The following is a 13986-nucleotide window of genomic DNA, read 5'->3' as shown; positions in this document are numbered from 1 at the left end:
GCCTCTTTCCAAGCGTATTTCAGCGCACTGAAGTGCCAGACATTCTTATATCCACTAACCGTAGTCACTAACCAGAATTAAGGATTCAGATTACCAGATAGCTCTTGTCAAGATGAAAATATGGAGGTGGTTGGTACCCATCACTTTGGTGGAGAGCAGAAGTTTAAAGGGTGACAGGTTTACAGCCCGAAAGTTAGGAATATTTCAACAGTGAAAGGGAGGAAGGTGGATTGACAAAAATGGCTCTCCTGGGTGCAGCAAATCAAGGGGGCTGCTCCATTGTCAGAGGCACAAGAATTGAGAATGCTTAGTAATAGAAAAATGCAGAAACATCTCAAATACTGCAAGCCTGCCTCTGCCAGGCCCTGCCCATGGGGACAAGAGGCATGGTTATAAGCCTGATTTTCACTGTTACGCAAAAACAGCAGCAGAAATGCTAAAATCATAGCAGAAATCTCAAATTTGATATCAAAAACTTTGTTTTAAATGGGAACATAAAACTGTACTGCTCATTGATTTTTGCTTTGACATTTATAAAGGTGGCAACGACTAAAAATATTTTGTGTCATAAGGGATTTTATAGTGATGCTAATATGTTTCATGATTTATACTAATATAATGTGTTGAATATTTCAAAAATGATTTAAGCTGACATAATATTTTTGAATAATTCCAAATGACAATTTGCAAAACTGTACATCATATTAAAAATTTAGTCTGATAATTCAAGCATTTGCACAATTCAGTTCTTTCTCAATACAATTTAATCTTAATTTCATTATAAAATATATTAAAATGTTGAGTTTTTCAAACATATAAGATTTGTAAAATATATCTCCAGTAGCTGAGAAAAATTAATCCATCCTTATATAATGAAAAGATTTAGTACAATGTGATAGCAATCCATCAATAAAGACATGGTTCTCTTGAAAGTCATTATAATACATCCTGACAACTGGTTTAATTATCAAGTGTCGCATACATAAAACATAAATGGAAAGTCTTCCCCTTGGGAGAACAAGCTGACCTCCCACCCAACTACCATTTAAATAGTCTATTTTCAAATGCAAAATGTACTTGCTTCACGGGAACTAGCAAAAAATAATATTGTGAAAGAAACGGAAAAAAAAGAGTAGAGAGAGTTTTTAAATAAAATCCTACTTGTGTTATCCTCAGTGTACTGACATTCATATTTAGTCTAGTATCCTTATGATTAGTATGAAAATAATCATACCAAGTCAGATGATGTCATAACAGATTATATTATACATGAATTTAAACATTCATTTAGAAATTTTTAAATCCCTCAGGGTATTCTATGAGACTTATACCTAGTAATATATTAACTATACATGCTTGTAAAGCGGTTAGAAATGGACTGGCTTCAGCCTGATCAACATGGAGAAACCCTGTCTCAACTAAAAAATACCAAATTAGCTGGGTGTGGTGGCACATGCCTGTAATCCCAGTTACTTGGGAGGCTGAGGCAGGAGAATCACTTGAACCCGGGAGGCGGAGGTTGCGGTGAGCTGAGATTGCACCATAACACTCCAGCCTGGGCAACAAGAGCAAAACTCCATCTCAGAAAAAAAAAAAAAAAAAAGAAAGAAATAGGCTGACTTCATGGAGCTCCCCAAAGTAACGTTGCACTGAAGCGGTTTCTTTAAGATGCTGAAAATTAGGGTATGAATATAACCACTTCAGAAGATGTCAGATACATCACAATAAATGACACACTAATGGCAAGCTTACATTTTTAGACCTTCATTTTCAGGGCCTATTAATTATTAATATGAGACTCATTAATTTATTTCTTTTTGTCTAGCCAGCAAATCTACCACATTTTGAACACTAAATAAAAAGTCACAGCATAGTATCTCTTTAAAAATTATAACTAATATCGAATTCTCGGTTCCGTATTTAAACTACAATAGTAGTACAGCAACAAAAAGACATATAAATAATAGGCATTTGTATATCCATTTGTATACTTGTTTTCTCGTATTTAATTTTCAACTGTATTTTAACTTCTCATTTTTTTCTCCTCTCCAAGTTACATTCCACTATTTTTTGGTCATACTTAATATAGAGGAGTAGTACAATGGAATCTTTAAGTTGTTTTTAAAGATTATTTATTAAATTAATGTAGTAATTTACCCCAAGGCAACCTCTAGTTGCTTGGCTTGGATGCCATTGTACATACGTAAAAATGTGATGTAGAGCTTTTGTCAAGAACTTTATAATTTTAATGAAGAGACAAAAACATCCCTCACTCAACGCACTGGCCTAAATTAGACATTCATTATCCAGATACTCATATAGTCACCTCAAGTACATTACTTCTAATCATTAAAACAATACCGTATTGCCTAGAAGTAGAGAGAATTTCATTTGGTGACAACTGAGGAATCTTGCATAAATCTTTGCATCCCCTCAAAATGTATTCAACTCTTTACATAAGACATCAGCAAATAAAGTTACCATTCACACTGTACACTCATACAGAGATATAGATATAGATCCCAGAAAGACCTCTCCCTTTTTCTCACAGACCAGATAAGACTAACAAGTGTGTTAGGAAGAGTCTAGTTTTCCATTGAAGAACACTTAGTTAACTTGTTGGCCTATTTCAAGGTCTTCATGTTTTCCCCAAAACACATCACCTTAGGATATGTTCTTTGTCTGGAGTGGGAGACAGGGTCGTGAAAGGAAACTTCAGTTCCCCAAAACTATCATTTTGGTTAATAAGAACTGCTAGTGTTGGAACCATATTTAAAAGAAAATTGGAATCAAGTTCCTCTAAGGAAGAGTACTTATAATCTTATTAACCTGAGTATTCATTTATTAAGCAAATATTACATTTTTGGTTATGCATAAAATTTGGCCACAGAGATAATGAAATCTTTCAAATCCATATGCTTTGCCCCAGGGAATACATTTATTACCTGCTGTGATGTCACTGGGTAATTTTCCTGGCTGGTAGAGATTCGACTTAAGTTTTCCATCACTCAGAAAGAGGAGGATACCCCCTGAAATCAGCTGAAGTTCACTGAACAGCAGAAGCCCTGCCTTATTCCAAGTTCGAAATTGAAAAGTGGCAGAAACCTCCTCCTCTCCAGAGAAGTCTGGCAGTGCTAAATAACTCCTGGAGCTCAGAAAAGTCACGGGCATAGATTGTGGTTGTGAACAAGAAAATGACACATTTCCCTGAGAATAAAGTAAAAGAAAAAGCTTTCAGAATGTTATTCACATCACATTAGTAACAGAATTTGAAGGCTGCTTTTCAATCTCACATTATCCGCGATTTAAAACAACTGCCTGCTATCAACATGACAGTCCAAACCACTGCCATATTTCTTAAAGGTTCTTCAACCCTTTGCTCTGCTCTTCTCTCCATTTCTCAACTTTAATATAAATTTAAAAGTCAATGAAGTCAAGCTTATTTAGAAGAATACACATTGGAATAAAACATTTGGTCTTGGTCAAACGAAAACATTTGGCTCTATTATGAATCTGTGAAAAGTGAATTCACTTTTATTATAAACAAATACATTGTTCCAATGAATGAAATAACAAAAGCTGAACAGCAAACTACACTAACCCATATGTGTAAAGGCAATTTTAAGACTATCAAACCTAGGGAAAAAAAAAAAAACATTTTTACCAGCTGCAGCTTGGTCTTTTTTCTTAGTGATACATAATAGTTGTATATATTTATGAGGCACATGTGATATTTTGATACATATATATAATACGTAATGAGCAAATCGGGATAATTGGGATGTCCATCATTTCAAACATTTATCTTTTCTTTGTGTTGAGAACATTACAAAACTTATCTTGTAGCTATTTTGAAATATACTATAAATCCTTATTAACTATAGTCGCCCTACTGTGCTATTGAAAACTAGAATTTATTGCCCCTCTTCTTTCTAATCATATTTTTGTACCCATTAACCTGCAGCTTGATCTTATGCATCATTTGGATAGCTGCATGATAGCTTACCAGCAGCAAATCCTCTTGCCAATGAAGAGTGAATGGTCCTTGCAGTTTCTAGAAACTCATTTTATGGATAAAATACACACACACACACACACACACACACACACACACATCTATCTAAAATATTTTTATTTTTATTTTAAATAATTTTGCTTTTATTAAAAATACTATTTTAAAATCTTGCTGGCTGTTGTGGTCATATAAATACCACCAATTCACATAATTAGAAATAAAATGCTGTTTAAACAATAAATACACTTGTGATGTGCTTTGGGATTTGCTGACACATGAGCTTAAATTTACCCACTTTGGATTTTAAGCAATGAAAGAAATTTATTCAAATCAATATGTGCCTGTATTTTATTATCAAACTGGTAAAGCTAGAAACCATGTTTCCCAGGATCCCCTTACTTGTCTGCTTCTGAGTAAAAGCCAAAAAAGAGAGCTTGGGTGATACTTGATAGTTAGAATTAAAACACCAGCAACACATTTTGCCCCTAAGGTTGTTTTTCTAATCATGTGCGATGAGGGGTGGTCACACAGCGGCTGGTTTGTTCCAGTCTGTCCTTGCTCTCCTGCACTATGGCCCATCTCTTCTTCCTGACAGCTGGCCCAACCGACCGACAGCAAGCCCAGGCCCATCGCTGGATGCATGGCTGGGGACACACAGGGGTGGTGGCTACCCACAGGCAACAACTGCCAAAGTTCTCTTCAACCCTCCTAGGCTGAAAATGTCTGTAAGTTCCAACATGCCTCCACACATCACTGCTTTGGGCAGAATTAATGACTTCTCTGATCCTCGCACTTCCCCTGCCAGGCCATTCATTTTTTAGTTCCTCTGAAAATTGCTGAGGTCCAAGTCCTAATATAGATCCACTGTTCACAATACCTAGCATTGGTGCTGCTTCCCTAACTGAAACCTAACCAAGACAGCTATATTTAAATTGTCCCCGTTTCCACAGAATTAGAATGTAATGCAGTCTGACCAACATTGCCATTTGGACAGATTGGCCGATGCAATATTGTAACACAACCTGTATTTGCTTGCGGTAGTAAGATCTCTTGGTGCAGATTTCCTACATGTGATGTTTCTTACATGCTGTTGTCTGTTCGTCTCTTTTATTTATCATGAATGACTATGGCAAAATACAAGTTTTTCAAATGTCTCCCTAATATACATGGTTGTTATCTGATTCCAGAAACTCTTTATGCTCATCTGGTAAGTTTGTCAGGGAATATCTTATTTAAAAAATCACAGAGCAGGCTGGGCATAGTGGCTCATGCCTGTAATCCCAGCACTTTGGGAGGCTGAGGCAGGCGGATCACCCAAGGTCAGGAGTTCAAGATCAGCCTGGCTAACATGGCAAAACCTTGTCTCTACAAAATATACAAAAAATTAGCCAGGTGTGTTGGCAGGACTACAAGTCCCAGCTACTCAGGAGGCTGAGGTAGGAGAATCGCTTGAATCTGGGAGGCGGAGGCTGCAGTGAGCCGAGATTATGCCACTGCACCCCAGCCTGGGTGACAGAGTGAGACTTCATCTCAAAAAAGAAAAAAAAAATACAGATTAAAAGAAATTAGGCTCCTGTGAGTAATGACATCACAATAAAATTAAAATATCAACCATAAAAACACTGCTTTACTTCATATAAAAATAAAATAATTATGCCCCCAAAATTATAATTCCTTCAGATAGAACCAATCTTTTATATGCATATTGCCAATCAAAGAAAAATATTTAAATAAGAGTACCTCTAAAACCCCATGTCAAATGGGAACCTAAAATGGAGGAATTTTACTGTGTGGAAAAAAGAAATATAGTTTTACTAATGTCTTCGCATAAAGACTCTCACCATAGCAATGATCTGTGGTTTTTGCTGCTTGGCCAAATCAATGATATCCACTCCATTATAATAGAGATTTTCTAAACATCCATGAAAATTTCTATGTGGGAATGACACTGATTTTCCAGGTGCTGGAATCCCTCCAAAGCTGATCTTAGAAAGAAAAATGGCATCAATAATATTGTTTAGTGATTTTCTAAAAATCTGCTTAATTATGATTAGCAAGTATAGCTATAATCATCACACACAGATCAATTTTTCATAACCCTACACACACAAAAATTAAGATATAGATTTAAAACAAATTTATGTGCATTTAGCTTTTATTTACACTAGAACTTTATTTTTACAAGTTGCTGATCACATCTGGCTTTGATATTCACTGGTCGATGAAAAATACATCTTTATAACATGGTAAAACTTGATCTGTTTAATACTATAACCAATTATAATATTTTATTTTAGATACGCTTCTAGCACATATTGATATTTGAGCATTTGAATCCATTGCTAATGAATTAATTAATCAATTTGTTGGTACATTCTCCTTATAAATCTATACTGCTCACAAATACCCTAGAACACAAAGAAGTCATAGCAAACATCCTATATTTGCTTGTGGTAATAAGATTTTTTTGGTGCAGAAGATTTCCTGCATATGATGTTCTGTGACTACATATTTTAGGTAAAAAAGATCATCTCCCTCTATAACAATAAATTTACATACTGTGAGAAAGATGAAGGTTCAAGTACTATACACCGAAAGCTGCCACTGTGAGTTAGACTGCCTTGGGAAATGCTTCACCTGTTCTATGATTTACTGAAAAGGTGGGCTCTTTATAGTGTATTTTCCTCTGGGAGATTAAACCACATATACATAATAAAATCAGCATTAATTGAAACATAACCATCACACCTCATAATCAAGATTCATGAGATTGAATTCTCCCCGTGCATGGAAATGATGCCTGTGTTCGTCCACTGTGAAGTTGACTTGTTTGCCCAAACGCTGGATGAGCACTGAATGCCAATGCTGATCATCTAGCAGGCTGCCCAGGGTGAGATTGACCAGGGTGGAAGTGGAAGGCAGTTTAGCTTCACCTTAGAAGAGGAGAAAAATAACAGCACCATTATTGCCAGTCTAAAGAAAAAAAAAAAAGGTTCCCTTCTGTGGACCACCATCTTTCATAATAATTGCAATCTCCTTCTACGCATTCCGTTTCAAATACTAGGATGCATTTCCCCGAAGTTTCAATATAATAATATCTCAACCTTGTTGTAATTTCCTCCGTTGTTAATTCTTTTTGTCATTATTACTGATTGCACGCTCATTTTCTATGTAAATTTTATCTTTGCCACAACCTCATTATTTTTACTACCTCAACATTTTTCAATGACCCATCCCTTCCTTTATGATGTTAGAAAATAGCTATATGGTTCTATCAGCACTATGTAAAAAAACACTGAAGATTTTGTGCAATTTGCAAAATATGAACCATTTTTACATGAAAGAGCAATATTGACATATGTACAAGCCCTTGAATCTGAAAATAAGGCACTCTGACTGCTAAAAGATAAGCTATAAAAGCATAAAGTGACTTAGGTGATATCTAAATAATCAGATTTTTGAGCACTTCACCGAATAGTTTTACCTGAATTAATAAGTAAAAAGAGTCTTGCTCTTCTTAATTGCAGTGTGATGTGATCTCCATTTGGCCCTTCCCTGTGGAGTAGAATCCCATCACTCTGCATGGTTTTGAATTTCAAAGAAATAATGTCTTTTATTGGGCTCAGGGATTTTTGATCAAATCTGTAGAGAAGGGAACTTTTTCCATCAAGATCAACCACTTCTGATCCTAGAAACAAAGATAGTAGAAGGCATTCTAAGGATAAATATCTTTTCCATTAAATCATTTTAAATGCATTATATATTGAGAAAAGGCAGTATACGTACTCATACACATGCATATACAGATGCTCCTCAACTAATGATGGAGTTATATCCTGATAAACCCATCTTAAGTTAAAAATATTGTTAGTTGAAAATGCATCTAATACATGTAACCCACCAAACCTCATAGTTTAGCCTAGCCTACCTTAAACATGCTCAGAACACTTACATTAGCTTATTGTTGAACAAAATCATCTAACACAAAAACCATTTTATAATAAAGTGTTGAATATCTCATGTAATTTATTGAATACTGCACTGAAAGTGAAAGACAGCATGGCTGGATAGGTACTTGAGGCATGGTTTCTACTGAATGCATATTGTCTCTACACCACTGTAAAGTCAAAAAACTGTAAGTTGAATCTCTGTAAGTCAGGGACTGTCTGTGTAGTCCAGCTTCTGACCAGTCAATAGTAAGGGAAAATATGACCACCAAACATCTAATTCCCTATTGACACATGGGGTTGATTTCATTTTAGTCTTTACTAACCTGTTTACAAAATTCATGATCTAGAAATACATTTTTAAATGTATTCCTAAATTTCTCATATATATATATAATTTCATATATATATATACATAATTTCATATATATAATTTTTCAGGCAGGGTCTTCTTTGTCACCCAGGCTGGAATGCAGTGGTACTCACACTATCTTGGCTCACTGCAGCCTTGACCTCTGAGGCTCAAGCGACCCTCCCACCTCAACCTCCTGAGTAAGTGGAACCACAAGGGTGCACTACCATGCTCAGCTAATTTTGTTTATTTTTTATGGAGATGAAGTCCTCATTATGTTGCCCAGGCTGGTCTCGAATTCCTGGGTTTAGGCGATCTGCCTACCTCAGCCACCCAAAGTGCTGCGATTAAAGGCGTGAGCCACTGTGCCTGGCCTTTTTCTCATATTATTAAAGGCTATTTCTTCTTATTCCATTCAACAAAGTTATAATTAATATACATTAAATCACTTTGCATATTTCACAATCAATGTTTTTTAATGGAGTTCTTGGAATTCTAAAGTTAAATGCTTTTTTGGCTCCAGAAAAAGTGGTTTTGATATCTCAAAATTCTTTCATCCATACAGTATGTTAACGAGGTCTATACACAAATATACACACATAGCATAGACTCATCAAATGCCGCCTTGAGTACACATTAAACTGATCTTTGTGTTTTGTCTTATTTTCCGTCTGTGGCTAAGTGGTAGTATTTAAGGGCAATACTATTTTCTGTCTTCTCAAGGACATTGTTGGAAAGACCCTGACTTAATGATATTGTAAGGTCTGTTCTGTAGTATTTGTGGCATAACTGTGACATTGACATGTTTTTTTCAACTTTCTGACTGTCTTATCTACTTATTGTCAAAATCACTCTTACTCATTTCATCTGAAAAAAGATGTCATGTTATACCAGTAACCTAACAATACATCTGTCAAAATCAGTTGCACCTGAACAAGAGACATTAAAAAGAACTCATAACACTTGGAAATCCTGACGGTATTGTCTACATTTCACAAGTCAAAGATTTTTTTAAGGCAATTACCCTTGAGAGTGCACTTATGTAATAAATGAAGAGGCTCAAAAAATACAATAAAATATGAAGCGATTTTTCAACTGGTAAGCTGGCTTCTTCCAGTCAACGAAATGACATTCCAGTTTACTCATCTTGTTTGATGTGACAAAGTTATTATAGCTACTTGTAAGCCCAAATATGCATTTGATTCAGATTATCCATCATATTTTATGTGAAATGTCTATACACACCACCCTGCAAATTTTTTTCAACTATTTTATGCAGCCATCTTTTGAAGACTCAGAGGTTTTATTTTTTTCACATTTTGCTAATGTGCTTATAGAGAATTCATTCACCAAGTGCACATGAATAAATACTGCATTCTGTAGAAAGAATAATGTTAGCCTAACAATCCTTCCTCGTTACATAGCTGAATGAATGCGCATGGGAAAAATACAACTGTGTCAAATACAAATAATGCATCCTATGATTATTAGATTACAATAAATTAAGAAAAATTCCAGTAAGACAGACTTTAAATGCTGACACATTTGGAGCAATGCAGTTATCTCCGAGTTAATGTATCACTTAAAGGCAACTATGACAGTAATGATTTCATTTTAGGTAAAGACTATTTTTGAAATTAGCTACCAAGAGAATTTTTCCCATTAAAGGTTTAGCTTGTGTTACTTTAGCTACTAGTACTTTTTTTTTCTTTTTCGCTGCTGTTATTATTACATTATAATGATGATATGTATCTTCTGTGGCACCTAAAGCTTTTGTGCCTGGAATATTTCAATCAGCAAAATGGCATAGAGAAAAACATATAAAACCATTAATGCCTAAAGCAATTGCATACTCTTAAACCAAGGCCACTTGTCATTTTCTGTCATTCTTACTGTCTCCTTGCTTCACAGGTACACGACAATGCAATTCTATGAATTCATTCAATAAAACTTTATTTGACCCATCACGTTTGAATCAGTGTGCCAGATTCTGGGATTTAAAAAAAATTCAACATAAATATGGCCCCTGTCCTCATGGTGTTTCCATTTAGTGAAGACAGACAATATTTAGCAAGTAAACAACTAAGTTCATAAAAGCATTACAGGTTGTAACAGGCATTCTGATCAAGAGTAACAGAAGGCTGGAGTCACTTAAGGTAGTTGATAAAGGGCTCTCTCAGTTCTCAGGTCTAGAAACAGGAGGCAAAGGGAGATCTTAATCAGTAATCTTGCCACCCTCTACAGTCTTCAAGTCCTATAACTTGTCCCCATAAACTAGGATTACTCTTGGAACACTTAATTTCAAGAGGCCTAGACATTTTCCCAGCACTGTCCCATTCACTGTCATAAGAGAGAGCTCTGAGGATTGCTGAGAAACTACAGTGACAGGAAATAATTTAGTACTCAGAGTAGGAGTGAGGTTGGCTCACCTTGAAAAAGGGGACCTGAAAGGAACAAAGTACAGAAAGACGGAAATCAACAAACTGGCTACAGTCGCATCACAGATTTCCCATGCAGGTAAACAATACCCTTCAGAGAAAAAAAGTTCAGTATAATTCACAATGCGAGTACATTATCAGTACAGGAAAACTTCAAAGGATACACATTTAATATATAGAAACAGACTCTCAGGAAATGAAAAAAAATTCTGGATGATTTTTAACAGTATTATTTTAGATATAACACTCATTGTAGGTCACTTTTTATAAGCAATTTTTATAAAAAGTTATTTGCACCCATTTGATATACTTTAAAAATCATCTTAAACAATTACAAAATTCTGAGTTATGTGGCATAAAGTTAATCATATAAAAACCTGAAAAAATTAATCTTTTGAGAGAGAGAAGGAGCATTTCAATTCTATATATTTTGGACAGTACTCAGCTGTCCAAAAATGCTGGTGACAGAGACAGGAGTATAGATTCTCTTGAAAGTGATCTTACCACTGTTAAGAAAAATTAGAAAAAAAAGTGGAAATAAATAAAGCAAAGAAATAACTTCACATCTTCTCAATGTCATTGTAGAACATCTTCTAACAGGTAAAGATTATTTAATTCTAGGTGAATTAATAAATTCTGATTTTACTATTTATTACTGAATGAATAATAATTAAGGCCAGATTCTATAAAGTTAAACATAATCTGTAGATTTTTGCTCAGTAGAGATGCAAATTGCTTCTGTCTGGTAGAAACTATATCTCCAAAGGTTATGGGTTTATTGTCCTGTTGAATATTAACTTCTTGCGTATCTACCTAGTAATATTATTCTAACATGCTTTCCTGGATTCCTATATATACACTCAATCTCTTGAATTTTCTTTGAAACTAGTTTTACCATCCTTCTGATTCCTTCATTAATGAATCAAATACTTCTTTGATACATGTATATTCTGTATTTGAATGGAAGTTATGTTTTTATGTTTTGAAAATTTACTTTAACATTGCGAACTGAAAACATACGTTTGGATTTCACATCAATGACCAAGAAAGCAACATATCAAATCTTAGCCATCACCAGAATTTATTTTCACTATTCCACAAAGATTCTCAGATATTTGAGCTCTTAAAAAAGCAACAGCAATGCAAACAGATACAAAAATAAAAAATTTCAGGGTGATTCATAGCAATATGTCTTTGTATTGTACTAATCTATGAAAGATATGAGTAAATAGAATTGCTAAAATTAGTACAAATCAATATTTATTTTAGAAACACTAAATTAAGCATCCAAAATAAAATTAATATTTAAATTAACAGTCAATATCATACTTACTCCTATCTTTTGTAAATACCTTTGGGAAAATATTTTTTTTGGACAGGGTCTCCCTCTGTCACCTAGGCTGGAGTGCAATGGCATAATCTCAGCTCACTGCAGCCCTGACCTCCGAGGCTCAAGTGAACCTCCAACCTCAGCCTCAGCCTTCCAAGTAGTTGAGACTACAGGAATTTGCCACCATGTCCAGCTAATTTTTTGTATTTTTGGCAGAAATGGAGTTTCTCCATGTTGCCCAGGCTGGGAAGACAATCTTTTGTACATAGTTGAATTGTATAAATAGGAAAAGTAGAAGTATTATAAAATTGACCATAGGAAAAATGTGAAATCTGAAGTTAACAAAATTTGTAACAGTAAAAGGCCTACAGTCTAAAGATGTAAGAGGAGACTTTTTGCTTAACTGAAAGGAAGAATAAGAATTATTTTTCTAACTGTGAATTTGTTCATTAGTATGCTTATTAACTGAGGTTTTATATATTTAAGTATATATTATACATATTTTACATTCTATATTTTAAATGATTGGGTTATTATCGAGATTAATAATGTGGCTCTGTCATACACTGGCTCACTATGGGCAGGGTATGAACTCTAGTTCTCTGACCACAGTTGCAAATTGTTCTGACAAATTCCCCGCTTTTTAGTCTAGCCCCCTTTTCAGCCATTTCTAATAATATATATTTCATGTTGGCATAGTAGTTAAGGCAACTAGTCTGTGCTGGTTTGAATACTCACTCAAACTTGAGCAAGTATATTATTTTCTGCCATGGTATGGATGTGGTTTGTCTCCACCAAAACTCATATTGAAATTTGTTCCCCAGTGTGGCAGTGCTGGGAGTTGTGGCCCAGTGGAAAGGGTTTGAACCATGAGGCAGATCCCTTATGAATGGTTTGTGGCTGTTCTCAGGGTAGTGAGTGAATCCCTTCTCTCATGAGACTGATTAGTTCTCATGAGAATGGATTTGTTCTTGCAAGAGTGTGTTGCTATAAAGCAAGACACCCCTCAGGTTTTGCCTTTTTGCACTTTTCCACATCCCTTTTGACCTTCTCCACTGTTTTGACCCTGCAAAAGCCCTCACCAGAAGCCCAGCAGATGTTAGCACCATGCTTCTTGAACTTCCCAGCCTGCAGAACCATAAGCTAAATAAACCTCTATTTTTAATAAATTACCCAGCCTCAGATATTCTGTTATAGCAACATAAAAGGATTCAGACAGCTTCCTATTATTGTTGTAAAACAAATAACCACAAACATAGTCTCTTAATATATCACAAATTTATTATCTTACAATTCTGGAATTCAGAAGTCCTAAAATCAAGGTGTTGGCAGGAGCTTTTTCCTTCTAAAGTCTCTAAAAAATAATTCATTTCTTTGTCTTTTCTACCTTTTAGAGACCACTTGGCTCGTGGCCTCTTCCTTCATGTGACCAGTGTCACAGCATCTTCAAATCTTCCTTTCTTTCCCTCTCTCCCTCCCTGCCTCCTACTTCCCTTTTATAAGGACCCTTGTGATTACATCAGGTCCGCCTGGATAAACCAAAATAATCTCCCCATTGTAAGATCCCTAAGTTAATGACATCTGCAAAGCGCTTTTGCCATGGTAACACAACATATTTACAGGTTTCAGGGACTAAGATATTAGGGAGGTATTATCCTCTTTATCACAGTGAGTTACTTAACCTCTTTGTCCCTGTTGTCTCATTTGTAAAATGAGAATAATAGTATAGTCTTCTTAGGATTGTTGTATGCATGCTTATCTGCCTAGTTTTTAGAAGCTGACACACAATTAGCAATAAATGAATATTAACTACTAATGCTAGCACTAGGATTTATTGTTAGAATATTGGGCAGGAAAAGGTGCATAGCAAAAAATAGTTTAATAAGTACATTTGGTGTATTTGT

At 35.1% G+C, this 13986-nt stretch overlaps 1 protein-coding gene across 16 annotated transcripts in view; it reads right to left on the bottom strand.

Moving 5' to 3' along the window:
• Positions 1–13986, bottom strand: part of CNTNAP4 (contactin associated protein family member 4) — a 283357-nt gene that overhangs the window by 105043 nt on the left and 164328 nt on the right. For 11 of the 16 annotated variants that reach the window (NR_136216.2, NR_136210.2, NM_001322189.2 and 8 more), the window contains 4 exons: positions 7500–7703; positions 6764–6948; positions 5857–6000; positions 2946–3207 (listed from right to left, as the gene is read on the bottom strand). Coding sequence is in view for 12 of the 16 variants with exons in the window: in NM_001322189.2 (NP_001309118.1) it covers positions 2946–3207; positions 5857–6000; positions 6764–6948; positions 7500–7703 (795 nt within the window). In the remaining 4 variants the exon portion in view is untranslated. The remainder of the gene's footprint in view (positions 1–2945; positions 3208–5856; positions 6001–6763; positions 6949–7499; positions 7704–13986) is intronic. The other 5 variants (NR_136213.2, NM_001322187.2, NM_001322191.2 and 2 more) reach the window with 2 other exon arrangements.

This window comes from Homo sapiens, chromosome 16, assembly GCF_000001405.40.
Source record: "Homo sapiens chromosome 16, GRCh38.p14 Primary Assembly".
Classification (NCBI taxonomy): domain Eukaryota; kingdom Metazoa; phylum Chordata; class Mammalia; order Primates; family Hominidae; genus Homo; species Homo sapiens.
The sequence above is the reverse complement of the archived record's forward strand: the minus strand, read 5'-3'. Positions and strand labels throughout refer to the sequence as shown.